The 27,990-nt window shown below is 45.1% G+C and overlaps 1 protein-coding gene and 1 long non-coding RNA gene across 12 annotated transcripts in view, besides 1 other annotated feature; one reads left to right on the top strand and one right to left on the bottom strand.

Annotated features, from left to right (window-relative positions):
- The window catches only part of LOC124905219 (uncharacterized), a 31,800-nt gene extending 13,759 nt beyond the window's left edge, over nt 1-18,041 (bottom strand). The window contains exons 1-2 of one of the 2 annotated variants that reach the window (XR_007068338.1): nt 16,600-18,041; nt 5,354-8,696 (exon numbers count right to left, since the gene is read on the bottom strand). This is a non-coding gene — a long non-coding RNA (uncharacterized LOC124905219). Of the gene's footprint in view, nt 1-5,353; nt 8,697-16,599 lie in introns of those variants that run through there. The other variant, XR_007068337.1, reaches the window with a different exon arrangement.
- Nucleotides 14,106-27,990, top strand: part of HS6ST2 (heparan sulfate 6-O-sulfotransferase 2) — a 335,356-nt gene continuing 321,471 nt past the window's right edge. For 4 of the 10 annotated variants that reach the window (NM_147175.4, XM_047442618.1, NM_001077188.2 and 1 more), the window contains exons 1-3: nt 14,106-14,230; nt 16,608-17,301; nt 18,150-18,668. In NM_147175.4, coding sequence (NP_671704.3) covers nt 16,874-17,301; nt 18,150-18,668 — 947 coding nt within the window. In that variant the 5' untranslated portion in view covers nt 14,106-14,230; nt 16,608-16,873. Of the gene's footprint in view, nt 14,231-16,607; nt 17,302-17,456; nt 17,556-17,965; nt 18,031-18,149; nt 18,669-27,990 lie in introns of those variants that run through there. The other 6 variants (NM_001394074.1, NM_001394073.1, XM_047442619.1 and 3 more) reach the window with 5 other exon arrangements.
- Nucleotides 16,968-17,468: an enhancer, noted in NCBI's record as "H3K4me1 hESC enhancer chrX:132092036-132092536 (GRCh37/hg19 assembly coordinates)". NCBI's record gives its function as "activates a minimal SCP1, AML or CMV promoter by ChIP-STARR-seq in naive H9 embryonic stem cells {active_cell/tissue: H9 hESC(naive)}" and the evidence as "EXISTENCE:reporter gene assay evidence [ECO:0000049][PMID:30033119]".

The following is a 27,990-nucleotide window of genomic DNA, read 5'->3' as shown; positions in this document are numbered from 1 at the left end:
ACATTTGTTCTGCCACTGTGTCTCTGACAAACTGTTCTCTGCTGCCCCCTGCTGTTCAAACTGACAGGGACCTAGAAGGTTTTCTTATTTATGGTAACTACCTGGGCAATTTCCATTGAGAAATGGTTGGGGCCCAGTGGGGTGGCTCACGCCTGTAATCTCAGCAATTTGGGAGGCCAAGGCGGGCGGATCACCTGAGGTCAGGAGTTCGAGACCAGCCTGGCCAGCAGGGCGAAACCCCGTCTCCACTAAAAAATGCAAAAAATTAGCTGAGCATGGTGGTGGGTGCCTGTAATCCTAGCTACTTGGGAGACTGAGGCAGGAGAATCGCTTGAACCCGGGAGGCGGAGGTTGCAGTGAGCCGAGATTGCTCCACTGCACTCCAGCCTGGGTGACAGAGTGAGACTGTCTAAAAAAAGAGAGAGAGAGAGAGAGAGAAATGGTTGGTCACGTCTGTAGTTCAAGAGGCTAGCAGTGTTGGCTTATTCCTGTGGGTATGTAATTACACAGTTCTACTTCCAGAACTCCAGAAAAGACCTTTGAAATGGAGGCAATTCTCCCACTGTTTGATGCCTGAGATGTCACATGCAGAGGAAGACAGGTTTTAACTGAAGATTCTGATCTATATGCAAATGTCCATGAACAGAGGGGGATTATCACTCACCCACACATTAGTATCATCGATTGGGAGTGGGGAAGGTTGATATGGTGCAAGAAGGGAAAAAGAGCGTACTGAGCCAACAGGTAGGGGCAGTAGGGAAGTAAATCACAGGGGTGAAGTGGGTGGGGAAGGAGGTATGTAATGAAGGTCCACTTCTGACTTTCCCCTTTTACACACGGTCTATCTGGCCCTGAATTGTTGATTTGAATATATGAATGCTTCCTGCTTTGTCCCATCACTTTATCCCTAGCAATGAAGGGCAGGGGGAAGAACAAGGGGGCAGCTTTTTACCATCCAGCTCTAGCTACTTTGCCAAGAACAGAATGGAGAGATGGGTGCATTTATGTTTACTGAGCACCTGATATCTGCCAGTTACTAGGAATGTCCACATCATATCAGCATTCATTATTGGAGGGAGGTTGAAATAACCCACTGAACAGAGCCACAGCGTGCTAGGAGAGAAAGGAAACTAAGTCAGAAGAAAGCAGTTAGTGGGAACCAGCCAAAAGTCTCACTTAGCCATCCTGCTGTCTTCCTTATTATTTACTTTTCAGCAGATGGTGAAGCTAAGAATCAGAGTAAATGACTCCCAAGATCCCACAGTTGGTTTATGGTAGAGTTGTGTTTGGGTTCTCTTCTGTCAGAGAGAAGCCACATACCCTTCTTGTACCAATATGGCATACAAAATAGAGAAAAGAGGGATGTCTGATTTTGGGTATATCTGTAGGTGCGCATCAGGTGTTAAACTGCAGGTACATACATTTCCAGAGGAACTCAATTAAAAAGGGAAAGACCATAAGATATAGTGTCTCATTCCTCCTTGGAAGCTGCATATATGGGGGAAAAGCAAAAGAAAAGAAAAGAAAGCAAAAGAAAAGAAAAAAAAGAAAAGAAAAGAAAAAAAAAGAAAGAAAGAAAAGAAAGAAAGAAAGGCAAGACAGCTGAAAGGCATACATTTCTGGAGAGCTCAAAAGATAAAAATGATAGTCTCGCTTGGAATTTATCTTAATGAGCAAGACTCAATCAATGGAAAGTGACAGATGAGATAATTTAAAGTTCAAGTTTCCTTCTTCTGTTTCTTTGTATAAAAGAGAACCAACTTTTTGATCATTTTTTGCTCAGCTGTAATATTCTGCTGCATAAAAAAGATTGAACACCGAATACCACATTAATATGTTATTGGCATCTTTCTTTTTTCATATCCTACATGTTGATTGTAAAACCGTCCAGGGAGACTGATAGCTGTAATATATTACAGTTCCTCAACTTCAAATTAATTTCATAACAGTACACTTAAGAGCCAGATATGCTTTGCTCCAAGAAGTATCTCAAAGTAGGAAATATTCTTTTTCTCTGAAGCCCTGGGTCTGGTTATTTTATTTATTGGATCACCTATCTAGACTTTACTTCCTTATGATCCATTACCTGCTTCAGTAATTACCATCATCTCTGAAATGTCCAAGCCCTGGCAAGTAGATTGAATGCCTCTCTGCACATGCCTCCAGGGTGAGCTGCACAAGCACAGTAGGAGCTGGGGAACTGTGTGGGATGTAAAATCTATGTCTCTGTAATTCGTATTTCACATTCAGACCTCCAGCTTGACTCAGTGGGTCTGTGTAGACACAGCCTAAACCAATGACCACATGAAGGAACAAGGCAAGGTGATGCCCAATGACTGCAAGGGCCTTAGTTGAACTCATCAAAAACATGTCCTCCTCCTCCCCTCTAGCCCAAGCTCCCCTACCTGAAGAGAATGGGTCAGAGCACTCTGTCCTTCTGTCTCTCATCTGGGGGCAGCAGTTGTAAAGAAAGGGACGTGAGTACCTTTCTGTCTGACCTGTGGGTCTTGAAATCCCTTTAGCTGCCACAGAGGATCAAAAATGGGTCCCGTTTTTCCACCCTTTTCTTTAGAGCTGTGCTGTCCAGTATGGCAGCCAGCAGCCACTTGTGCCCATTTAAATATAACTTACTTGAAATTAAATTCAATTAAAATTAAATTGATTAAAATTAAGCTCCTCAGCCGGGTGCAGTGGCTCACACCTGTAATCCCAACACTTTGGGAGCCCGAGGCAGGTGGACCACCTGAGGTCAGGAGTTCGAGACCAGCCTGGCCAACATGGTGAAACCCCATCTCTACTAAAAATACAAAAAATTAGCTGGGCGTGGTGGTGGGTACCTATAATCCTACCTACTCGGGAGGCTGAGGCAGGAGAATCACTTGAAGCCAACCCAGGAGGCGGAGGTTGCAGTGAGCCGAGATTGCGCCATTGCACTCCAGCCTGGGCAACAAGAGTGAAACTCTGTCTCAAAAAATAAAAATAAAAATAAATAAATAAAATAAAATTAAGCTCCTCAGTCACACTAGCCACATTTCAAGGGCTCAGTAGCTACGTGCAGCTGGTGGCTATCATATTGAAGAGTACAGATAAAGAATATTACCATCATCAAAGAAGTTCTCTTTGACAACTCTGCTGTAGACCCCAAATGACTCTGATCTTGAAGGAAGAGCAGAATATCAATAATTGCAGAAAGAAGGGAGGACATTTCAGGAAAGAATTTGCAAAAACAAATGTTCATTGGTTTTGTATGGTACAAAGCCCTGTGAAAGGAGCAACTTTAAATCTTGAGTTTCCTATAGCAGTCTCAATTTTATAGGAATGTTCAGAAAGAATGAAGAGTATCCAAAACTGATGTATAATGCAACTATGTAAAATAAAATTAAAAATGAGGTAGGGAAAGTGAAATAAATGACTTTCCATGGGTGTAAATGCATGATTAAATCTTTCCCCACATTTAAGTGCAGCTAAGTTTTTTTCCAGTCAGTGTTCTAATTGTTTTGTTTAGAAAATATGCTCACTGTAACTATGAAATTAATTTATTATTATTAATCATCATCATCAAATTTCATACCCTGAGTTAACACTTGTTCACTCAAATATTTTTAAGCACCTACTATGTATCAGAAATTTTTCTAGGCCCTTGGGATATATCAGTAAACTGGCTAAAGTAAAGAGATACCTGCATGCAGAAGCTTATATCCTAGTGGGTAGAGATAGAAAGCAAACAATAAACACTGTAAGTTTGGTAAACATATGGAATATCTAAGAGTGTTAAGTTCCATGAAATAATAGAGCACAGTACAGGATATCCATGGTGTGGGTTGATAATATTCATGCTGGGGCAGGCAGAGGGGTTAAGCATGTTCTCCTGGATCTTTACACAGGGCAGTGTCCTTATTTTATACATGTAGGAGATAAAGTTCAGGTTGGCCAAAGTTCATGCAAATATACACACATATATCATACCATGTGCTGGTAAGCATGTGGCTTACATGCCACATGTAAGGGCAATATGGCAATATGGCAGTATCTATTGCCTTTAGTAATAGCACTAATTCTATTCCCAGCTTTCTGAATCAGTCAAATAGGCTGGATTATATTGTGGCAACAAAGAACTCCAAATTCTTAGGGTCTTATAACAGAAAAAAAGTGTGTTTCTTCTTCAATCTATATGTACACATGTTCACCAAATGTCCTGTTTGTGGGATCACTATTCATAACAGCCCAGCACTTAAAATTAGGACAATGCCCATCAATATGAAGAAATTTTGGATGAATAAAATGTGGTGTATTCACACAATGGAATACTTCACAGCAATGAGAATGGATTAACTATAACCCCTTATGATATGGATGAATCTCATAAACATAATTTTGAGTGAAGAAAGCCTGAGACAGTAAATACTGTATGTGGTAGGCAGATTTCTAAGTGGTCCTCCAAGATTTCATGACCCTGGTGTACACAGACCGTCTCCCAGTTATCCAATCAAACACTAATCTAGGTACCACCATAAAGGAATTTTGCACATGTAATTAAAGTCCCAAATCAGTTACCTTAAAATAGGGAGATTATCTAGGTGGGCCTGATTTAACCACATGAGTTCCTTTAAAAGCAAAGTATATTCCTGGACTGCTTGCAGAATCAGAAGTCGGAGAGTTGAAGCTTGAGGGAGACTGATATGAGAGAAATTCTCTGTTGCTGGCTTGAAAGTGGAGGAGGGCTTGTGACAAGGAATGTAGATGACCTCTAGTTGTTGAGTGTGACCCCTGGTTGACACCCAACAAGAAAATAGAGACCTCCGTTTTTTAACTGCAAGGAAATGAACTCTGCCAACAACCAGTGAGCTTGGAAGAGGACCCCAGGCCCCAGATGAGATCACAGCCCTGGCTGATACCTTGATTTGAACCCCATAAGCCCCTAAGAAGGGAATCCACCCACACCGTGCCTGGATTTTTGACCTACAGAAACTCTGAGAATAGATCTGTGTTGTTTTAAGCTGTGGTATCTGTGGCAATTTGTTACATAGCAATATAAAATTAATACACTCTGTGATTTGATTTATATAAAGTACAAAAGCAGGCCAAACAAATCTATGCTGATATAAATCAGAAATAGTGGCCACTGGTTGGGATTTGTTGACTGGAACGGGGCACAAGAGAGGCTTTTGAGGTGATGGCAGCATTTCTTGGTATGAGGGCTGATTACATAGGTATGTTCAGTTCATGTATGTTTCATCAATTGTACACTTATGTTCACTTTTCCAAGTGTATATTATAGTTCAATAAAATATCAAAAGCATACATCCAAAACATACATTTTCCTTTTCAAAAAAAACCCACAAAAACAACATTCTTTATTTTAATATGTGTATTCATATGTGTACTTGGTTACAATAAAGGCCCTCCAACATACAAAACAAACTGAAAACAGCAGCTACCTCAGGGGAAGGGAATGGAATTGTATGGGGGTCAAGAGGAATTTTTGCACCTTCTATGATATTTGAACATTTACAAAGAGTTTCAGTCAAGCCTTACTTGGGTTATTAAAAACATGAAGGCAGAAAAGTATTAAAACGTATGTATAAGCTGGGCATGGCGGTTCACATCTGTAATCCCAGCACTTTGGGAGGCCAAGCTGGGAGGATTGCTTGAGCCCAGAAGTTCTAGAACAGCTTGGGCAACACGGTGAAACTCTGTTTCTACAAAATATACAAAAATTAGCCAGGCATAGAGGCATGCACCTGTAGTCCCAGCAACCCAGGAGGCTGAGGTGGGAGGATTGCTTGAGCCCAGGAGCTCAACACCAGCCTGGACAACATGTCAAAACCCTGCCTCTATGAAAAATACAAAACATTGGCCAGGCGTGGTGGCATGCACCTGCAGTCTCAGCTACTCGGGAGGCTGGGATGGGAGAATTGCTTGAGCCCAGGGAGGTCGAGGCTGCAGCGAGCCATGATTGTGCCACTGCACTCCAGCCTGGGCAACAGAGCGAGACCCTGTCTCAAAAAACAAAACAAAACAATGAAAAATAATAACATCTGTATAGATCCAATGATGTATTTGAACAGGGTAATTCTTGTCTAGATTGGATATAAACATTCACCTAGGGCTGTGATTTGAAAGACATTAAGAAGTTCCCAGACATCTCTCCTGCTTTGTTTAATAACAGTAACTGCCATTTGTTGGATACCCATTCTCTGTAAGGGCCTGTAAAAGGCCTTTTATGTATATTATCCTCTAGCTTTACATGCATACCTTACAAGGTTGTTGATTAGTATCATACCTATTGTACAGAGACAGAGGAGGAAACTGAGGCACTGGTAGGCTAACTGCTTGCCTAAGGCCACACAGTTAGTAAAGAGCAGAACTGAGTTTCAAATCCTGGTCTGATCCTAGAGGGTGTGCTCTTTGTATTACAGTTGCCTGCTCCTTTAATGGTCTTATTGACTCTTACCCTGGTATAAATTATTCATTCATTTCATTCTAAATGGAACTTTGGGAAAGGGAATCCTCTGAGTCCCTCACACCACGGTGGAAATGAGTGTTCCTCAGGTTACATTTTCCCTCATTGGCGTTGCAGGGCACCTCCAGGTATGGTGGGAAGTCTGGGAGAGTGGGTCTAATATAGAAAGATGCTGTGTCCCAGAAAGGGTAGACTCAGATGCTTCTCAATGTTCTCCAAGGGTGACTGGCTGCTCAGAGTTACCCAGTATCCCCCTGGGGGCTTGGCCCAGCGTAGTTTCAAGCCACAGGCTTTGTTATGTGAATTTCAGCTTGCTCTCAATATGATCCCTCCTGTAGAGAATATATTAATAACCTTAGTGCAAACACTGTAGACATGGAAAGTGAAATCCAATCCCTGCCCAGGAGATTCCAATCCTCAAGACATAAGGACCAAGCTATCCATCGAATTGCAAAAGAGTTACAATGGAGGCAGCTGACTCAAGCTTGGACTTGACTAAGAATTCACTGAATACCGGGGAGTGAGCCTGAGACCTGACCTCCAGGCCAGCTTTGCAAAGGCACTCCGGTTACTGAGATAAAAGAACAGCCTGTGGCACTGACCAAGAGCCTTTGCAGCAGACTTCTGAGAAAAGGACAGGAAGAGGGCTTGTTTAGAGTACTCTGTTTATTTAGCTTTTTGAGAGTTCTTATATTCTTTTATGTGAAGAATGGTCTGTAAATATTGCTAAGAGGAGCTCCTACCTTGTCATTTCAGACTAGTACAGGGGGTATTGGTGGAGAGGAGGGACAATTAAGCCTGAATCTTCTACCCTCAGTTTGTCTGAGTATTAGATGAACGGTAGTGTTACAAGGCAGAGCAAAAGAATAAAATACATCTTTATAGTGATTTTTTTAGAAGGGTCTCACTCTGTCACCCAGGCTGCAGTGCAGTGGCGTGATCATGGCTCACTGCAGGCTCAACCTCCCAGGCTCAGGTGATCCTCCCACTTCAGCTTCTGAATTAGCTGGGACCACAGGCGTGCCCCACCATGCCCCACTATTTATTTATTTATTTATTTATAGAAACAGGGTCTTGAACACCTGGAATCAAGCAATCTGATCCTCCTGCCTCTGCCTCTTAAAGTGCTGGGGTTACAGGTGTGAGCCTTGTGCCTTGTTGTGAATTTTTTTACATCATACTAATCTCCCTCATCATTTGATGAAATCTATATCAGCTGTTAAGTTTTTGATGAAACTAATGATGAATAAAAATAATTCTCTGTTGATATCCAGCCTAAAATGTCTCTGTTTAGAATGTCATGTTATGAGCATCTAATGTGGATGAAAAATCAAAACTAAACGTATTTCCAGATTACAGCCAACAAAGAAAATTGTCTGTCCTGCATTCTTGCAATCATCCTGGTAAATTATTGTTGTTGTTATTGTGGTTGTTAGTTTGCTATTGCAACAGCATCTTAGCATCTCAGCTGGCATAAGATTTGTCCTTGATAAGTGAGCCAAAAGCTGTTCATCTGGTAATTCATTAGCTGGCTCTCTTCCAGAAGACTCTGGAACACTAAATGTCAGTTTTTGCTTTGACTTGCTACCAACCACTGGCAAGATATAGAACAATGGAAACATTTAGGGTAAAATGCAGAGTGTCTTCTTGTTTAAACTGTGCCTATCCTGGTCCCTCTTCTCCCTGTGAAAAGCAGCTTATTGACTTGGTCTAAAAAAATCAACTATTTGCTCTGCAACTGAGTTGTGCATGTTGACACAGCCCGTACTGTGTTTGTGAGGCTACATACTGCTCTCTTGATGAAAGACTCCGCCATGTCACGCTCTTGTCACTGCAGATTGAGGGTGGAATTTGTAGCTGGGGAGGGCTAGGACACTTTGTATACAACCCTGTGAACAAGGAAGGGACTGATGCCCTGAGTACAACAAGAAAAGGTGGTCAAAACAGTTTCTGTCAGCAAAAGTTCCTCTTTCTGGGACCAAGACAAAAAAGAATGGGTGGGTGGGCAGATTGATTAGCTCCTCCAGGCCCTCCCAATGTTCAGTAGGGAGGCTTTTCTGGCCATTCCAGACATCTGTGAACCATCCGCTGAGTGTCACTGCATTAGAGCTAGTGCCACAGATTAGTCAGTCATTATCCTCAGGCTCTTGCATATTAGGTGTATTATATTTCCTTATATCGATGGTAAGTTCTCTGAGAATGTGGACTAGTCTCTGTTGAAGATATTGGGTACCTGGTAAAATGTAGTTAGTGGAAAGAAAACATTTTAAGTCATAAATTGGCAAGTAAGGGGAAAAACTAACATTTCTTGAGCACCTCTTCTGTCCCAGATCCGTTGTGAGGTGCTGTGGGCATTGTCTGACATTGGTATGTGTGCTTGGGGGAGCTAAGGGAGAGGTCAGAAGTGGCAATTCCACACGTTATGTGACCCTAGCCATGTTTCTTCAGCCCTGAGGGACTCCATTTCCTCATAAATAAAGTGAGGACACTAACAGCAGCCTTGCAGAATTATTGTAAAGATCCAATCAGTGTCTGTGAAAATATTGGGTAAACTGTGAAGCCCTAGACTAAATGTGATTGTTATTGAGCATTATGAAGAATTTTTAAAAATGAAGAAGCCAAGGTCCTAGACTTTCAGAAGGCTATTGTTTAGTAGAGTGGACAAAGTTGCTTGTGACATTTCCCAAAGATAACAGTGTCAGATCATGCGGGTGACATCCCAAGGTTGTGTGTGTATTGAGTTGTCTAGTCAGCAGTGTCTTCATCTCTGCTTCCCTCTTTACTAAAATTCAGGCTTTGGGCTCTCTATCTTCTTCACTGCTCTCAGAGCATGTGCATGACAGCATGTGTCCATGTGTGCTCACACACGCACACACACAATCCCTCTCTGTCCAGCTCTCCTGCCTGGGATGAGGATTATCTAAGTCTCTTGACATTGTATTTTGGAACAGGATGTCTCATATTCTCCAATCAAACTCAGACACCCTGGAGCTGGATGATGATCAGGGAGACATTAGAGTTATTATTGGCTCGTGACTTAGATAGATCTGGGTTCAAGTTCCACCTCTATAATTCCTAGTTGTGTGGCTGTAATATGGAACTCCAGTTTACTCATTTGTAAAGTAAGTACAACAGAAGTAACTATCTCATTGGGTTGCTGGCAATGCTAATTGAGATAGTGCATGCAAAGCGTTTAGTACAGTATCTGACATACAGCAGATGTTCAGTGTTCAGTATGTGAGCTACTATTGGCACTATTTGCTAACCATCCTGAGGTCAACCTACAGGAGACACCACTATAGCCAGCCATCCTGATCACTGTGCAGATCTTTGAAACTGGCACCCTCGACAACAGGTAGACCCCTCTCCCCATGCCTGTTGCATTTCTAACCCCTTGTTGAGCGCTACCAACCGCATTTTGTCTCTTCTCATTGGGGATTTGAATATCATCTTCTGCTTCAGCTAAATCTCCCACATGATGATAACCATTAAGGCAACTTTCTTCAGTACAGAAGATAAATATTCAAAGTGCTTATTACCAAGTTCATTTCCCTCATCTGCTCTAATGCTGTAGCTTTCTGCATTTTTATGCCATTTTGTGAAATGTGGATCTTGAAAATACGTATTAAAGAAGCAAGTCCTTTCTCAGGTTTTACTATAAAGCCCAGTTAAGGGCTTTAGGAGCCTCTGGTCTGGCTCTTTCTTATTAAAAATTAATTTTCATTTAGTCTGTGACAAGTATGGCTTCTCTAAAGTAATTTCTCTTTTCCTGGATTATGCTTATAAGGCATTTCCTTTCCAGCCCATTTGAATGACAAATAAATCCTTTTCCTGGGAGCAACTTTGGCCTTGAAGCCTGCTTCCTTCAAATTCTCCAGGTTGACCTAAGATATAATTTTCAACTCTTGTATTTTAGTATTCAGAACTAGGACTCCCACAGAGACCAGTCATGCAATGGGTGTGTTCCTCTCTTGCTGAGATCCCAGAGTATAAACATAAATGGGAAACTGTGGGTCAGGCAAGGCCATTTTTGTTTTTATCATTACCGTTATTAAAACCTACCTTAGGCTGTTGTGTTAGCTGGAGGTCACTTCTTTATTTTTATTTTGAGATGAAGTCTTGCTCTGTTGCCCAGGCTGGAGTGCAGTGGCATGTTCTCGGCTGACTGCAGCCTCTGCCTCCCAGGTCCAGGCGATTATCCTGCCTCAGTCTCCCAAGTAGCTGGGATTATAGGCACACACGACCACACCCAGCTAATTTTTGTATTTTTAGCAGAGATGTATTTTAGTAAAGTTTCACCATGTTGACCAGGCTGTTCTCGAACTCCTGACCTCAGGTGATCCATCCACCTCGGCCTCCCAAATTGCTGGAATTACAGGCATGAGCCGCTGCGCCTGGCCTTGGAGGTAAGTTCTTGACATGACTTTTTCCCAATCTTTCAGCCTTGACTTTACCATCCAAGTCAGTAGAGGCCCAGAAGCCTTATTTTCAACTTTCTGTCTTATCCCTATGATCTGAGAAACTTTGCTCCTCATTTAAGTCCTTCTTCCGCTTTTGTGACTCAGTGACTAACTGGAGGGTCATATTTGGTAGTGTATCTTTGCTGACACAACAGCCAGAAGAGAGTGGTGTCCCTCCCCAGCCTTCTCATTAGCTAGCATAGCTCAGATCACATAAGGCTCCTGCTGGGAGGGGCTTTCCCGGTCATCTAAGGCAGCCCCTCATTTTACGAAAGTTGGCAACTAAATCCCAGAGACATCAAGTGACTCACCCAGGGTCACACAGTGAGCCAGAGGCAGAACTGGGACTCAAACATTGTTTTCTTGGCATCCCACTTGGTGCTTTTTCTACTCTGCCACTGTGAACTGGTGCTGCCAGCCCAGGGCTCAGTTGATGGGGCTTGTTCAGCTAAGGCTCAAGCAGGATGAATGCAAACTTGACCTTGTTTTTTAATCCCAACTGCTGTGGTTTGACTAGTTGCTCAAATGGAAACCCCTCCGGCCAGATCAACCATTAACTTTTGAAGTGAATGGAGCTTAAAATTAGTGTCAAGAGTTTAAAGTAGGGCTCGCCCCGTAAGCTCTCCTCTTTACTTACCTATAGCTCTCTATCTCAGCTCTCCAAGCATCTCCTCCAGTGCCCTATTTTCTGTGTTTCCTAGTATCCCATGGGAAGGACCATTCATTAGGGTTAAGCAATGCCATCTCCTCTTTTCTTGTTGATATATCTTGGAAGGGGACACGTGTATTTGTCCCATCCCTCAATGTGACACAGTGGATCAGAGGCTTTCCTCCTCCATGGGACATGAGCCAGGAGAGCACTAGAGAGACATGGAGGGAGGGTGAGAAAAGACTGCAGATAAAAAAATAGGATGTGGCAAAGCCAGCCTAGGACAAAATTAGGCCCATAGCCAGTTGCCTGTCATTAAGTATATGTGTGTTGCTACTGTGAAGATATAACAAAGATATCAAATCAAAGACATTGAGTCAAAAGAGGCGGAAAAAAGCAAGCATTTTCTGAAGGTCTGCTTTTTCAAGAACTAGACTAAGTGTTCTCAGTAGATTATTTTAGTTAACTCGCATGACAGCCCACTGAGGTAGCCATCATTAACCTCATTTTCATGGATGAGAAAATTGAGGTTCTGATGAACTCACAGAGCCCTAATTAAACCCCACAGGGCAGTGTGCTCTCCAAACCTATGCTCTCTTCTCTTTAAAAGCACTCATTTGAGATTGGATTCCTCTTTACTATACCCCTAAACCAGCTTTTTGGAGGTACCTGGTCAGGCTACTTTCTTCTTCTTCTTTTTTTTTTTTTTCTCTTTTTTTGAGACAGGGTCTCACTCTGTCACCCAGGCTGGAGTGCAGTAGTATGGTCATGGCTCACTGCACCCTCAATCTCTCAGGCTCAATGGATCCTCCAACCTCAGCCTCCCGAGTAGCTTGGAACCACAGGTACATGCCACGACGCCCAGCTAATTTTTTGTATTTTTTTTTTTTTTTTTTTTTTTTGTAGACACGGGGTTTCACTATGTTGCCCAGGCTGGTCTCAAACTTCTGTGCTCCAGCGATCCACCTGCCTTGGCCTCCCAAAGTGTTGGAACTACAAGTGTGAGCCACCAAACCGAGCCCAGGATATTTTCTAAGAGTGGAAACTGAGGCCCAAAGAAGTGAGATGACTATTCCAGGAACAGTCTGGCCTGCTGCCTATGGTTGCTAGGCCTTGGCTTATTGTAGCTTTAAAAGCCCTGCATGAGCTGACTCTTCCATTCGTTGTCAGTGAAAAGTGGGAATTTTGGCTGGGCACAGTGGCCCATGCCTGTAATTCCAGCACTTTGGGAGGCCGAGGTGGGTGGATCACCTGCGGTCACAAGTTCGAGACCAGCCTGGCCAACATGGCCAAACCCCATCTCTACTAAAAATACAAAAAGTAGCCAGGCATGGTGGTGCATGTCTGTAATCCCAGCTACTTGGAGGTTGAGGCATGAGAATCGCTTGAACCCAGGAGGTGGAGGCTGCAGTGAGCTGAGAACATACCACTGCACTCCAGCCAGGGTGACAGAGTGAGACTCCATCTCAAAAAAAAAAAGGGAATTTCACTGCTAGTGAAATGGTGGGAACCCTTCATCAGTAGAGGGCCGGTCATTGGGCTGCTTGTTCACAGGGTTGGGTCTACTATGAGCCCCATTCCAGTGCTTATCCTACCTTCTCAGCACATATTCATTTAGCATATACAGCACCCTGGCACCTCCTTTTTTTTAACTCCTTGAGCCCCACGTTTTGTTAGGCTAGAAAAATAAAACTCAGTGTTCTGTGGGGGAAACTAAATGACTATTGAGAGTGATGCATATAACACACCCAGCCTGTTTATAATATTAAAGCCTGAATTGCCGGACAGTGTTTTCATTAAGTACTGCTATTCATTCCGTTTGGAGAGACACGTAAGAACAGAAACCAGTCAACTCAGTAGTTTGCATGCCTTCCATCTTTGTGACAGAATTGCCTATTATTGAGAGTATGAACGTTTTCACAAAATGAGAGACAGCTAGAAAGCCAGGGTTGAAGAGAATGCTCAGGATGAGGGGAAGGCATAATCTATGCTTTCTGGAAAGAATGTCATGCTTTCTTTAATATGAAGTTTCCACTATTTCTGTTCTAATTTGAACAGGGTACCCTGCTGTCACCCTTGTAATATGGGCCCAGAACAACTGCAGCTGCTGCTGGCCTGGTGGGATCCAGTGATGCAAATGCCACAGAATGCAGGTAGAACCAGGTCTAAGTCATTCCCCCCGGGCTAAGGCCCTGAGTCTTTGGCAGTCCTTCAGCCTTTGAGGAAGACAGTAAAGGTAAACATGTGACAAGGAATGTCAGATCAGGGAAGTGCCTCTTGAATCACAAAGTCAACCTTGCCATCTCACAGATAAGGAAGTTGAGCCCAAAAGTGAGCAAGTGGCTTCCTCAGGGTCATATATATATATATATAGTCTCATTAGTGTCAGAGTCAAGACATGAGCCCAGGTCTCTGGACTCCCAGGCCAGTGCTCTTGTAACTACCTCCCACTGTTGTCTCAGATTACAGGAACCAAATGCATGTCTGGCCTTGTGCTGCTTCGCATGCAAGCCAGGCTGACCTTTATGCTCCCAGAATCATCAGCCTTTTCATTGGAAACCATGGAAGGACGGTTCTGGGAAAATAATGAAAATCATACCACACCATAGAGACAACCAGAAGCCCTGCTCAGATGACAGAGTTCTCCTCGCCTTCCAGGTACTGAATCCCAAATATATGCATACACAGCAACTCCAGTTGGTGTTAGAATTAAGGAGATGGAAAACCGAACACTTGACAGTTCGGCCAGTTCTCTTCCCTTTTTTTTTTTTTTGCCTCCTACCCCCAGTCTTTCCCCAAAAGGCCAAAATCTAGAGCATTTGAGCCTTTGTCATTCACTGCCTGAGAGGAACTGGCTCCTGGGAGCAGAGACCAGCCGAGATTACAAGAAGCCTCTTCAACATGCAGCCAAGGCCCAGCCTTGGCCTCGGGAGAACATGGCTCTTGGGACACACGTAGGAAAAATTCCCTGCTTCTCAGCAAAAAGCCTCTTCAATCCTGGAGGGATCTTCTGAGGTTTGTGGGACTCCCTGCTCCCCACAAAGACTGTTTTCTTATACTTCCAGGAGCCCTGATATATGAATTCCTGTATGAGAGATTCATTTCTTTGTTCCTCACAGCATGAGGGGGTGGAGGAAGGGCTTCTAAATGCAAAAATCCTAGTGACATATTATATCTCAGAAACTGAACTTTACAGCCCCACCTTGTCCCTCTTGCTCTGCAACTACCAACCTCACTGGCCCTTTCTCTGAAGGTTGGACTGTGAGTGTGTGTGCAGGTGTGTGGACACCTTCCTTTTCACAACTCAAATGAGTAAAACCTGACTTTTCCCCCCGTACTGTTTACCACCTCCCCCTTCCCTCCACCCAAGGCACTTTCTTGTGTTCCAATGCCACTAATCCCTCTTACAGTAGAAACTCCGTAGTTTAGCTGCTGAGGGCTTGAATTTGTGACCCACCTGTTTCAGAAATATTTTCCTAGGGACCCAATGAATGCCATTACATACAAAGGTGGTGTAATGGCAGGGAATCTTTATGCGACACCATGAGGAGAGCCACCTATTGGGTAGGCTAAAGAGGTTGACTGCAGTGAGTGGCCAAGCAGAAGGCAGGGGCAGCTGGCAAGCAGAGCTCCGGGGCCACCCCCATAGCTTCCCACTACCCTGGCTCACACCCTAAGCTGCCCTCAGGGGGAGCAGGCCTAGGACTACCAGCCTGGGCACCAGGGGAGCTCTTGGGGAAGCTGAGAGGTCAACCTTGTAAGTTACTGCATCTGGCTTCTTCGCACAAGTTCATTGGGTTTTCAGAGTGTTCCTGGAACCTCAGGACAGGAGATGCCTGGAGTGCTAGAAATTCAGGATTCCCAAAAAATCCACTATCCCTTATGTCTGCAGCTGGACAAAGGGTCCCTCACGGTCCCCAGTAGGTTTGGGGGCACGTAGAAGTCTAGCCAGGGCTGGGAATTCTAGGGGGTGGTAAAGACAGGGTGCACAGCCACAGAATTGCCTGAGAACGGCCTGTTCCTTATTTGGCCTGTGACGCAGTTGGCACATTGAGCTTAGAGCAACAGGTAAACACAGCCTCACATTTGGAGTGGCCTAAAGGTTTCTACATTTCATCCCCACGGTGACTCAGTTGGTCAAAACAGGGGACATAATTGGTCCTATCTTACAGACAAGAAAACTGAGGCTCAGGAGGGGCAAGTGATTATCCCAGTGCTGCCCAGGGACAGATTTCCCAGGACTTCTGGACTATTCTTAGGCTTGCCGCTTCATGGCATAGATAGAACAGGAAACGGATGGAGCAGAGCTCAGCAAGGGAGATACTGGGAGAGCCTGTCTCCAGGAGGGACATGCCCCCACCCCAGGACTCAGCTCGTGGTCTGCATTCTCCCACTCAGTGGCCCCAGTGCCAACAGCACTGCTCAGAAACACTGCTGCCAACCGGTGCCCCTTCTGTAGCAGTGGGACTGGAGGGAGTTGCACACTCAGTCACGGAAACACCAGTGTCCTGATGTACAGCAAGCCCCTTTGATCAATCAGATGGGGACAGACTGACTCCTGAGTTCCCAGGGTCCTTTTCCTGAAGGAACATCCATTCTTTCCCTGTTAAACCCTGCATTCCTGGTCCAGCAGCAGAAAAGAGCCTTTCGGACACTGGAGCTTGAGGAAGATCTGTGCCTATTTATTAGAGAAGGTGGTGTTAGTATCAGGAAATAGGTGGATGGTGCTGGGTTTCTTGGGTTCAAACCCTGGGGCTCTGCTGTGTGACCTTGGGCACATCCCTACCCCTCTCTGGGCCTCAGTTTCCTCATGTGTCACATTACCTTGGATTAGACGGTCTCACTCTGATGGAGTTTTTAGTTATGTATCCATTCATTCAACAAACCTTTTATGAGTCAAGCCCTCCTGCAGGCACAGGGTTTGGTACACAGGATTCAGCAAGAAGACAGTCTGTGCTCTAAAAAAGGTCAGATTCTCATTCTGTAATGCTTTTTGGTCCTGCTGTCTTTTTATCATGCTGACTTACCTTTTCAGAAAATGCCCCCGCTTCCGCTGGAGAATGGAAATTGGCAAAGAGAGACGGAAAAGCTCCAATTTGCGCCTTTGCTATTTTAGGAGAGGTTGAAATTACGAGCCAAAGTGGAGTGATGCGCTAAGCGGAGTGACCTCCGTACTCCAAGAAAAGAGAAAACCCAGGTTCTCTGCTTGTGAAGTGGCTCGAGCTCTTAGGCGTGAGGCATTATTATATAAATTCAAGCTCGCTCGTGATCCTTAGTACCCTGAGTTGCCTGAAGGGGGGAATGGCACTGCCTGCGTGTGCAGTCCGGGAGTTCGAGCCGCCGCGGCAACCGGAGCGAGGAGCGCCCGTCCGCACCACCTGTCCCCGCCGGCATTCCAGAGTAGAGGCCGAATTGGCAGCGAGCCGGCCCGGGTCGGTCGCCGCCTCAGTTCGCGCGGGCCCTCCTAGGGGTGTGTCTCACGGATTCCACACCCGGCCGCTCCTGGACAAGCCCCGAAAGGCGTCTTCTTCCCTGGCGGGAGCCGCGTGCGCCCCGCTTTTCGCGCTGCTGTCCCGGGGCCGCCGCAGGCGGATGCACGTCCTCAGGCGACGCTGGGACCTGGGCTCCCTCTGCCGGGCCCTGCTCACTCGGGGCCTGGCCGCCCTGGGCCACTCGCTGAAGCACGTGCTCGGTGCGATCTTCTCCAAGATTTTCGGCCCCATGGCCAGGTACGTTCTAGGTGAAAGCGGGGTTCGCGCTCCCAGGCCAGGGCGCGAAGGTGCTGTACGGGGAGGGAAGGCAGCCGCGGGGGGTAGAGAAGGGCGTAAAGTTCCAGCTGGCCATTGGTGGCCCGGCTAGGGTCTCCGGAGGGGTGCGGCGCGCATTTGCCCACGCCGCGGCTCCGTCGCTACTGTTCCGCGGGCACCGGCAGCGCAGCGTCTCCGATAGCAAGTCGGGCTGCCGGCCGGCTCATTCCCCCAGGGTAACTCTGAGCCCCCGGCTCCGAGCTCCCTCGAGGCCGCCTACCGGGTGGGCAAGCGGGCGCGGGCGCCGGCAAAAGGAGGGCTTCGGGGCATGCGGGGAGAAACCCGGACAGAGGTGTGCGCTCCAAAGAGGATAGGGGCAGAAGAGCCCGGAGAGTCCGGCGGACGAAGCGGGATGGGGATGGGAGCGGGAGCCACCGAGAGTGGAGCGAGACACGCGGGGGCCCGGACTGGGGGCGTGAGTTGAGGAGTGGGGCGACTGGGCCCGGAGGGGTCCCACTGGGGCTAAACCCCGTGGAGGGGCTCCGGGGAGCTCCGGAGAGCTCTGGCGGGGGGAGGGGGCGAACGGCCCGCGGGAAGGAGTCGGGGTGGGGGTGTGTGTGTGCCGCAGAAGCCACAGCGCTGAGCCTGCCGGGAAGGAAGGAAGCGGGGAAGGGAGCCGCCGCCGCAGCCGCCGCCGCCGTGGAGTACTCGGTGCGGAGGGGAGGGGGAGAGGGGCGCAGCAGCGGCTCCAGGGGAAGGGGGCGGTGCGGGGGCACGACGAGCGCGGGCTGAGCTGCGGGATTGACGTAACGAGCTTGGGTTTCCCCCAGCGTCGGGAACATGGATGAGAAATCCAACAAGCTGCTGCTAGCTTTGGTGATGCTCTTCCTATTTGCCGTGATCGTCCTCCAATACGTGTGCCCCGGCACAGAATGCCAGCTCCTCCGCCTGCAGGCGTTCAGCTCCCCGGTGCCGGACCCGTACCGCTCGGAGGATGAGAGCTCCGCCAGGTTCGTGCCCCGCTACAATTTCACCCGCGGCGACCTCCTGCGCAAGGTAGACTTCGACATCAAGGGCGATGACCTGATCGTGTTCCTGCACATCCAGAAGACCGGGGGCACCACTTTCGGCCGCCACTTGGTGCGTAACATCCAGCTGGAGCAGCCGTGCGAGTGCCGCGTGGGTCAGAAGAAATGCACTTGCCACCGGCCGGGTAAGCGGGAAACCTGGCTCTTCTCCAGGTTCTCCACGGGCTGGAGCTGCGGGTTGCACGCCGACTGGACCGAGCTCACCAGCTGTGTGCCCTCCGTGGTGGACGGCAAGCGCGACGCCAGGCTGAGACCGTCCAGGTGAGTGCGCGCCGGTAGTCGAGCGGGACCCGGGCCTAGGCGGGCGGAGGGCTGGGAGGCGCGGCTGGCCCAAGCCGGGGACCTAGCGCGCACCCTGACGCCCGGGCGTTTGCACCCCGGCTGGGCAGGTGCTGGGCGCCCAGTAGCGCACGTTCGCCGCGCTGTGGCGGCCACAGAAAGGCTTTCCGCTCCGGCCCCGGACTGACCGTCTGTCTGTCCGCAGGGTGGCCTGCGTGATGGTTGGCAGAGCGTGCGGGGGAGGCGGCCGAGCGGCCGGAACGGGGCCGCTGGGACGGGGCATCGTACTCAGTCTCCGCACTGGAGAGCCCTAAAGAGCCGCGCTCTCCGTGCAGCGTCTCTGGATCCCTGCTTTCTTCTACTCTGCACCCGGGTTCCGAAGTCTCCTTTCAGCGCTCTCTTCCTCCTTTCGGCGCCCGCATTCTTCCCTCCCCCCGCTTTCCCCCCTATTTCGTCTATTTGCCTTGTTCTCCCTCTTTCTCTCTTGTGTCCTAGATGTTGTCTGCTCCTGTTTGCTCGCTGTTTCCTTCTTTCCATTCCCCTCTCTCGCTTTTATTCTTTTTCTCTCTTACCCTTTCTGTTTTTCTCTTCTTGCCGGACTTTTATCACCTCGCTCCTTCCCCGCTCTGGCTCTGGTCTTCCCGGGCGACTGGGTGTCCCTCTGTCGCTATTTTCCGACATCCAAGGAGAGCTCATGGTTCCCAGGCTTGCTTATCACTACTGGCTGCATGAGAGGCATCCGTGGCTCTTTGGGAGTGGCGGGGGGCACCCCGCGGACCGAAGGGCGGGCTGGGATGGTGCCCTGGACCCCATGTGGGGTTCAGTCACCAGGAGCCTCTCCTGATTTACAAAAAATATTTAAAAAGCTTGAGCCCCAGCATGGGGCGCTGCCAGCCCATGTTCTGTGAGCCTGGGCTGATGCGGTAAAAGCTGATTTATTAATAGTCTGTAGCCAGAAGCAAGGGTATTTTCCTCCCTCCAGACGCGATGTCCAGTTGCTAGAGGTCATGCAGTACTGTAAAGTGGGTGGTGGTGGGGTGGGGGAAGTGAGTGCTATGGGGTGCAGTTAGTCCAGCCAGGGCTACTGTTTCGCAAGTCTCCTTAAAACAAATCTGGGCTGAAGCAGGGAGTCCAGGGGGTGCACAAGGTGAGTTTCATGGCCTGGAGGCCTCTGGATGGGGTCTCTGGGCCGGCAAGGACATGTCTGTGTCCCATCCCCATCCCCCGGGTGCACTTGGTACCCTGGACAAGGGGATGCTTTGCAGGTGACTGTTAGAACGCAACAACCAGTGTGGATTTTTCTGTCCAACTGCAGCAAATAGAGCCCTAGAGCCCTCTGACTTTCAGATTACCATTGAGATTTAAGGGGAACATCACCCCCTGGCTCTCCTCTTCACTCTCTCTTCTCTCAGTTTACACTGTCCTTTCTCAAATGCTGGAATTGTGTCAGAATCTGCCAAACTTGTATTTCCTTTCCAATACTAACAAATTTTTTCTTCCACCCCAAGAAAACCTTAGCCCCAGGACCTCAATCCATTGGTACAATTGTGTAAGTCATTGTCACAACAATATTCTGGTGTTTAATAAGTTCCCAAACAATTTGGCAATATTGAAAAGAATTTCTCATACTGACAGACCTTGTAGGTGTATTGAGAGGTGGTAATATTTAAAAAGCTCTTCTGGGCAAAAGTAGAATTCCACAGCCATGACTATAGCAGAGAAGTGAAAACAAGGTCTTGGTCACCATGAAAGCCATGGCCTTGTCTGGAGTTCCATGGGGCACATGTGCCTTTACTGATCCTTTTGAACATGTAGGTCAGAGTATGATGTCTATAAACACACATTATTAATGTGGTCTAGATTATCTGTTTGGTGGCTACTGTCCTCTGGCAGATTCCTTCCCGCATTCTCCAGAAGATAACCAGAACCCCTCAAAGCCTCTTGGATTGTCCCAAATTGAAGCAAAATTATTTGAAATGACATAGGATTTTCTTGGTTATTAAAAGGGTGATACTACAGTAGCATCTAGTCTAATCAAAGAGCAACCATGTTCTAAAAAGTCACAGTTACTGGATTTTACGGTGTTTGCAAAAATGAAATAAAACTTGCTAGAGAAATGCATTGCTACCTCAAGGGCACCTTTTTATTTCATTCATTCCTGCCCACCTCCAGAAATATTCACTTTGAAGAATAGGGATAGCCTAGGGGTTCCAGAATTTCTCTGGATGTTGACAGATCCCCTAGGAGGTTGCAGGACCAGTTCTGTGAGTTCTGATAATCTGTAAGAGCTAAGGTGTGCATGTGTGTGTGAGAATGAGAGAGTGTGTGTATGTGACTGTTGTATGTGTCTGTGCGAGGCAAAAATTTAGAGGTAAAGGCAGCTGCACCGATGGTGAAATGTGGGGGTGAGAAGCTGGTGTCTGGAAATGGGAGAGTCTGCTTTTGGGAGTTCCTGTGTCAAACAGCCTCTCCATGCCAGCTGGTGGTCTCTGTGCTCCTCTCAACTGAGGGGAACAACAGTTCCACCTTTCTGGCCTGGGAGTTCAGACAGCTGGGCCTTAGTTCTAGGCCAGCCACTAACCAGCCATGTGACCCTCGACCAGATCCTGTGTAGAGAGTGCACTCCAGTTTATGATAAGCGTTCATATCCCTTATCTCTGGTATTCCTCTGTAAACCTGCACCATCTTCAGCAAGAGGCCAGAGTGGACAAAAGGATCCCCATTTATCAGATGAGAATGAAGCCCAAAAAGGCTAAAGGGCTTCCCCGGGGTCACTGAGTTTTTTTAGCGGCACAGCAGGAATCTGACTGCACTTCTGTCTGACTCCACAACCCTTGCTCTGTTGACTGCACCTTGATGAACAAGGGTTTTTTGCAAAACCACAGTGAGGTCTTGAGTTAGTCATTCCCACAAAGTGAATGAACACAATAAATGTTGGCTGTTGTTGTTATCACCTACATCATTATCATCGTCAGTCATTTTACAACATGTGAGTTTGGATGAGTTTTTGGGCCAGGATTACCACACCCATTGGGAGAAGAACGGATTTCTACATCCCTAAGGCTTTCTATTCACTGGGGATAGGTTTTGTGGCTAGATTGCAGAGGGGTCTTTCATTGCCATGTTGGGAATCCCTGCAAAGCTGAGCAGGATGGGAGCGGGCTGAGGCCTGGTTGGATGAGCTTCAGTAGGAGCCTTCAGCTGCGACAGGAACCACCTACTGACTCACAGCCATTCATCCACATTAGGGAGGTATCAGAGGCTATTGTGGCTGCAAGCCAAGACTCTGAATCCTGCTTCCAGTGCTACATTTGGGATGCTTCTCTGCCTCCGCGGATGGTTAAGTGCTTGGGTGATATATAACTGCTGAATAGAAACAACCGTGATCACGTTGCCTGGAGAGGACAAAGAGAGAGAGAGAGAGAGAGCTTGGCTGGTGAAAGGCTCAAGTTGTTTATTAAGAATAATATTTCTTTAAAAAAAATCAGAAATTGGATTTCATCCATCTGTCTGCCAGTATGTTGTTTGCAGTCACTCAGGGTCCTGCTCATTTTAGAATTTCTGAGACCATTTTTGAAAGTGTATCCAAACATTGTTGCTCACAAGCTGTTAAAAGTCCCAAATTCTGCAGGCTTTTCTTAGGCCAAATTTCCTCTGTTTGTAGCCAACTCTAGTGTGCCATTTGTTCTGTAGAGGGAATTCAGAACTGGGCCCAAAGAAATAGCACTAGCCCCCTTCTTCATCACTAAGTATCATGCTGGCCAGCATGCACAGAATGGGGTTGAGAGGTCAGGGTCCATGGCTATACAAGTCAAAGAATCTGATCATATTCATGTTGTACCCTAGACTTTTAGCATCTCTAAAATTTTCAGTTTGGATGAGTGATTGGGCCGGGGGTACCACACCCATTGGGAGAAGAACAGATTTCTACATCCCTGAGGTGTTTTATTCACCAGGGGTAGGTCTTGTGGCTAGATTGCAGAGGGGCCTTTCATTGCCATATTGGGAATCCCTGCAAAGCTGAGCAGGATGGGAGCAGGCTGAGGCATCTGGAAGAGTAATTAATTATCATCTCAAATCCAGTAGCATATCATTGATGGGAAAGGACTAAAAAGTGTTTGTTTAGATGGAGAAAAGCTTTTTTTGGTCATTCTATTTTTTTTTAATTGTGGGAAAAGCTTTCTTTTATTCCCATTTGTTTTTAAAAGGTGGCTCTATTTTGAAAGAGCTGTAACTATAGAGTGTGTGTACCTGATCATGCCTCACAAGCCCACGCTTTCCCTCTTTCTTCTCCTTGATTTTGCAGTGAGGCAAAATGACACAACAGGCTTGTGATATAGGCTGAGGCATTAAGCAGAATGGACTGTTACAGCCAGTGGTCAGTACTGGTCGTGTGGTTCATCAGGCTCTAAGCTGTTGGGCTCAGTTTTACTTAGCTGAGGATACATTTCTTCAGCTGTCTTTGAGAGCTGTGGTACCATCTTAGCTATTTCATAGAAGAGGGGGAGAAATCTACCATTACAATATCTGTAGAATTCCAGTAGTATTAATTAGCATCTTTGCATGGATGTCGAACATGGTGTTGGAGTCCTTACAAAGCTGTAAGTTCTCAGGTAGTACAAAAGGCTATTCAGAATTAACATCACTTAATAATAATTTTAGATCAGTGCTATGGGGCAATTAAAATGCTAGAGCTTGTCTTTCATGGATATCAGTCATCAACTGAGGTAGTATGTAATGACATTAAAAGAATAGCCATCCGTTTTTTTCTGTCATTCATTAAGCAAGATTTTGTGAAACTGTTCATTATATTCCAGGGAAGAGACATCATTCTCTGTCTCACAGAGCTTATGGTAGAACAGAACAATTTAGTACTTTAGATATTTAATTAAAAAATGGATTTTGTTTGAAAACAATTTGAAAATCAATAATGTCTTTAAAATGTCATACATTTACCAGAATATACAAAAAATAGACAAAAGTCCATCTGTTATGTTGTAGTTTGGGTCTAATCGGCAAAGCAGATGGAGTAACTATTATGTCTCTGGCATGGTGCTAGCAGTTGTGGGGAGATTAGAGCCAAGAAGAAACCAAAAAAGCCAAGATAACCATCTTCAGCCTCAAGTCCATAAAGATTAGCATGTGAAGTGCAGGACTATGTCATGTAGACAGGTGCTGGGAGAGGAAATTTAGATTTTGGACAGGCCCTTTTCCTTCCCTTGGTCTCAGTGTCTTATCTATAAAATTGGAGATTTAAATGACATGCTTTCCAGGGCCCTTTCCTTTCTAAAGTATGAGGAACAGGCCAGAAAAAGGAGACATCCTTTTGAGAAGGCCTCTGGGAGTAGGAGAGTTGTATTAAGAAGAAAGGAGGCATTGTGGGTGGGCACGGAGTCCTCATGACCTTTTGAGGTCCAGCAACCTCACCTAGGCAGGTCTGGCCAGACCCGAAAGGTTCATGCTTGGAGTAATAATGGTTAGGGAAGTAGATGGGGTTAGGCTCCACTGTGGAGGACTTGAATGGCAATGAGGAACCCCAGTAAGTATGAGAAGCTCTTGGATGGAAAGAGTGCAAAAACACCATGAAAGTAAATAAAGGTCGGAGTCTAGGTAAAGCTATCTCCCTGATATCTAGTCTGGAATGTAGGTGGTACCAGCCACCAAAACAGAGAGGTTGAGAAGGGGATCTGGTTCGGGCTGGAGAGTACTAAGAAGTCATGACTGGTTCCTGTTGCCTAGATTTCTAGTGGACAGGACTTATAAGGAGGTGACAACTGGGGCTCTGGGGCAGGTTAGGGCTCCATCGTACATTATATGTGGGAATCTGTGGACCCAGTTAATCTGAATTCACAATTGGCGTTGTTATTTAAGTGATAGCTGCAATTCACATATGGGACTCTTAGCCAAGGAAAAGGATGTTTGAATAAAGGAAAAAAGATCAATAGTTATGATTACATAAGAATAAGATATGCTTATCTGTCAAAAAAAAGCCAAAACGAAAAGGTTTCAAACTGGTAATAATATGCACAATTACAACAGACACAAAGTTGAAATCTTTACTGTACAAAGAACTCTCACGAGCTGATTAGAGAATCAAAGGACATGACCAGACAATTTACAACATAGGACCCCCAACTAGTTTGCAGACATGGAAAAACTGTTTTATTTCACTGGTACTAAAGAAATGCACATTTAAACATAGAATACTTTTTTTGCCTCTCTAACCCTGATTAAAACAAACAAACAAACAAAGCAAAACCCAACATATATCACCACCAAACAAAAAAAGTAGACAGTGCTGACAAGGGCATGGTAAATATCAAAATTCTCATACATTGTCAGTGGGAATGTAACTTGAATGATCTTTTTGGAAATAAATAGTGTAAACACAGAATATAAAAATATTTATTTCTATGACCCATAATTTCTTTTCTGGGATTTTGCAGAAAAACATACTTTTATACATGCTTTCATTCATTCACTCATTTATTTATTGATTCAGCAAATATTTATTGAGTATCTGGTATCCCTGTGCTATGTGCTGGGGTTACCGGGAAGAACCAGGTAGATGTGGTCCCTGCCTTCGTAGGAGTGGGAAAGATAGACAGAAAACAAATTATCAATTACTTAAAATTATATGAAGTGCCATGGGGGAAAAGTACAGGATGCTATGAGAACACATACTAGGAGACTAACTGGAGTTATCATAAGTGCAACAAATTGGAAACAATCTGAACATCCACATGGAGAAGAATGGTTCAAGAAATCTCAGTACATCCACTTGAAAGATTATTACAAAACCACTTAAATGTCCTTTGATAGAGCATGGAAAATTGCTAGTGATTTAATGCTAAGAGAAAAAGAGATAGAAAATTATGGACCCAGTACGACTACAATTATATTAAAGAAAAAAAGATAGCGAGCGAGCGAGCGAGAGAAATCATCTCCTACCCCTCCCAAATCTAAGCATAAAAGACAGAGACTGGAAGAAAAAAATAATAGAATATAAATAGATCTATTAGTGATTTATTTTCTTATTCTGCTTTTCTGAAGGTTTTGAGTTTTCTTTGAGTCTACATTACTTATATAATAACAATAAGCATTAACAATTTTTAAAATAATGTTTTACTAAGCTGTGATTAATTGCACACAGGTCTACTTTTTTGGTTCCTGGCTGGTTATTTCATTAGCCTCTTGATATCCTGGGAGCCTTTAATGAGGAGAGTAGCCTCAGCCCTAATAAACCCTCACCCTGAAAGGCAGAGGTGATGAGTCAGACATTGGCTGCTGATTTTCGATAACTGACTTTTATCATATTCCCACACAATGCATGGAACTCTTTTTATACCAGTATGGTATAGAGCTACTTGAGTGAATTGCTATTGTTTCTTTCTCATTTATAAATTATAAATTTTAATTTATAAATTATATGGAACAGGAAGTTAATAGTGGTACACAGTTGGAAATATAAAGCTTATTCTGCTCAGCCAGAGCCATCCGAGATAGTCTGGACTTTGGATCTCCATGAGCTTCTTTCTTAGTGAGTTGACACCAGGGCTGATGGTCTGGCTGGAAGAGTTAAAATCTTGGGGTTGGTAAAGGGCTATAGTTCTAAACATCCATAACTGGGAGCTTAGATCAGTTAGTGTATGTGTTGCTCTCGTCCAGCAGAAAAGGAGAGTTCACTTTGCTAAGCAGCGCCCCCTAGAGAAGTTTCACTGCATAAGAGTATTACCCCCAGTTAACCATAAATAAAGTTGATTAGAAATGTCATTGTCCAACTATTCCAATATCTGAGGGACCACTCTATGCACATATAGTGAGGTGCATAATCTTATTGTTGAAACTCCACTGAAACTACACCGTAGGTACAAGTTGTTTTGACAGTGTAAAGAATGTCCCTCACAGTTGAAAAGCTAATATTAACATTCTGTGACACATGAAATGAGGTATTTAGTCACTGAGTTTAAAAAGAGATGTATGGATGGGAATTTCCCCCTTTCCATTAAAGGATAATGAATAATCCACTTAATGGCGTATGTCCTCTAAAACAGTGTCCTTGTAAGCTTAGATAAATATTTGTCTAAACTTTAGTAAAATATTTATTGGCAAAAGAGCTTTTCTCATTTACTAGGTATTGAACTTTGCAGATTATTCAGTTGGTCTTATTGCATCCCATTTGTTATTTCTGCCATTTTGCCTCTAAAAACTGTGCTGAAGACTTTGACACATTTCAGAGCATTACACTAAATAAATCTGTCTTGCACATTCCACTGTGCTTTTTCTGGAATATTATAAATATTCAAATATAGGCACACACGCCGATTCAAAATACAATTTAATACATGCAAATTGTGCATAAATTCCATATTTATAACTTGGCAATAGTTTCGAACTTGTTATCCTATGATATAAATGTATCAAATAGGAGCTCATGGGAATTATCAATAAATGTATTTTTCTGATTAAACTGTGGGCTCTTTTTCAGTCACAATTTAAGCTTCAATTCTGAGTTATATTATAAGAGAATAATTTGCACTTCATTTACTCTGAATTGTCAAGAATCTTGTTCTTCCCCAATGTAAGTGTCTGCAAAGAGGACTTCTTATTCAGTTTGATTGCTTTTTAAATTTTACTAGTGGAGATGCCCTAGTGAGTCTGAGAGAATTGGTCTGTTTCTTATGAAGAGTTTAGTTCTAATGAGTTGCTTCCATGCACTGTTCTGTGCGAATACAGAGCAATTGAAATGTGCGGTGTATTGATTTACCTCAAATGGATTAGGCCTGTGTGCACCATTCCTTGCATTAATTGACTTTCTCCCATAACTGTACTAATAACTGCAAATCTTCAGTATAGTATTAGCTTCAATTTACTCATAAAGATCCTTGGGTTTTTGCTAACTTACTACAGGAGAGTCAATGCAAGCAAGAGTATTTAGAAATTGACTAGGGGGACCAAGTTACATCATACAACCCAGAAATACTTTTAAAGGGCTCTTTGATCATGGCAGCCAACTCTTCAGTTATTACAATAAATAGGAGTTGACTAAACTCACCAGTTAAGACCTAGATTATCACAATGGATGAAAATAAAAAATCCAGCTATATGCTGTGTATAAGAGACAAAGGTAAAACATAAGAACATAAAGCACACAAAAAGGATTGGAATAGGTACACTATGCAAACACTAGCCAGAAGTAAACTGATGTGGCTATGTTGATATCAGACAAAACAGACTTTAAGGTAGAACCATTATTGGGCATAAACAGATCACTGTGTAATGATTAACAGTTCAGTTTTTTTTT

This window comes from Homo sapiens, chromosome X (genome assembly GCF_000001405.40).
Source record: "Homo sapiens chromosome X, GRCh38.p14 Primary Assembly".
In the NCBI taxonomy this organism is placed as follows: domain Eukaryota; kingdom Metazoa; phylum Chordata; class Mammalia; order Primates; family Hominidae; genus Homo; species Homo sapiens.
Note: the sequence above shows the minus strand (reverse complement) of the source record. Positions and strands in the feature narration are given on the sequence as shown.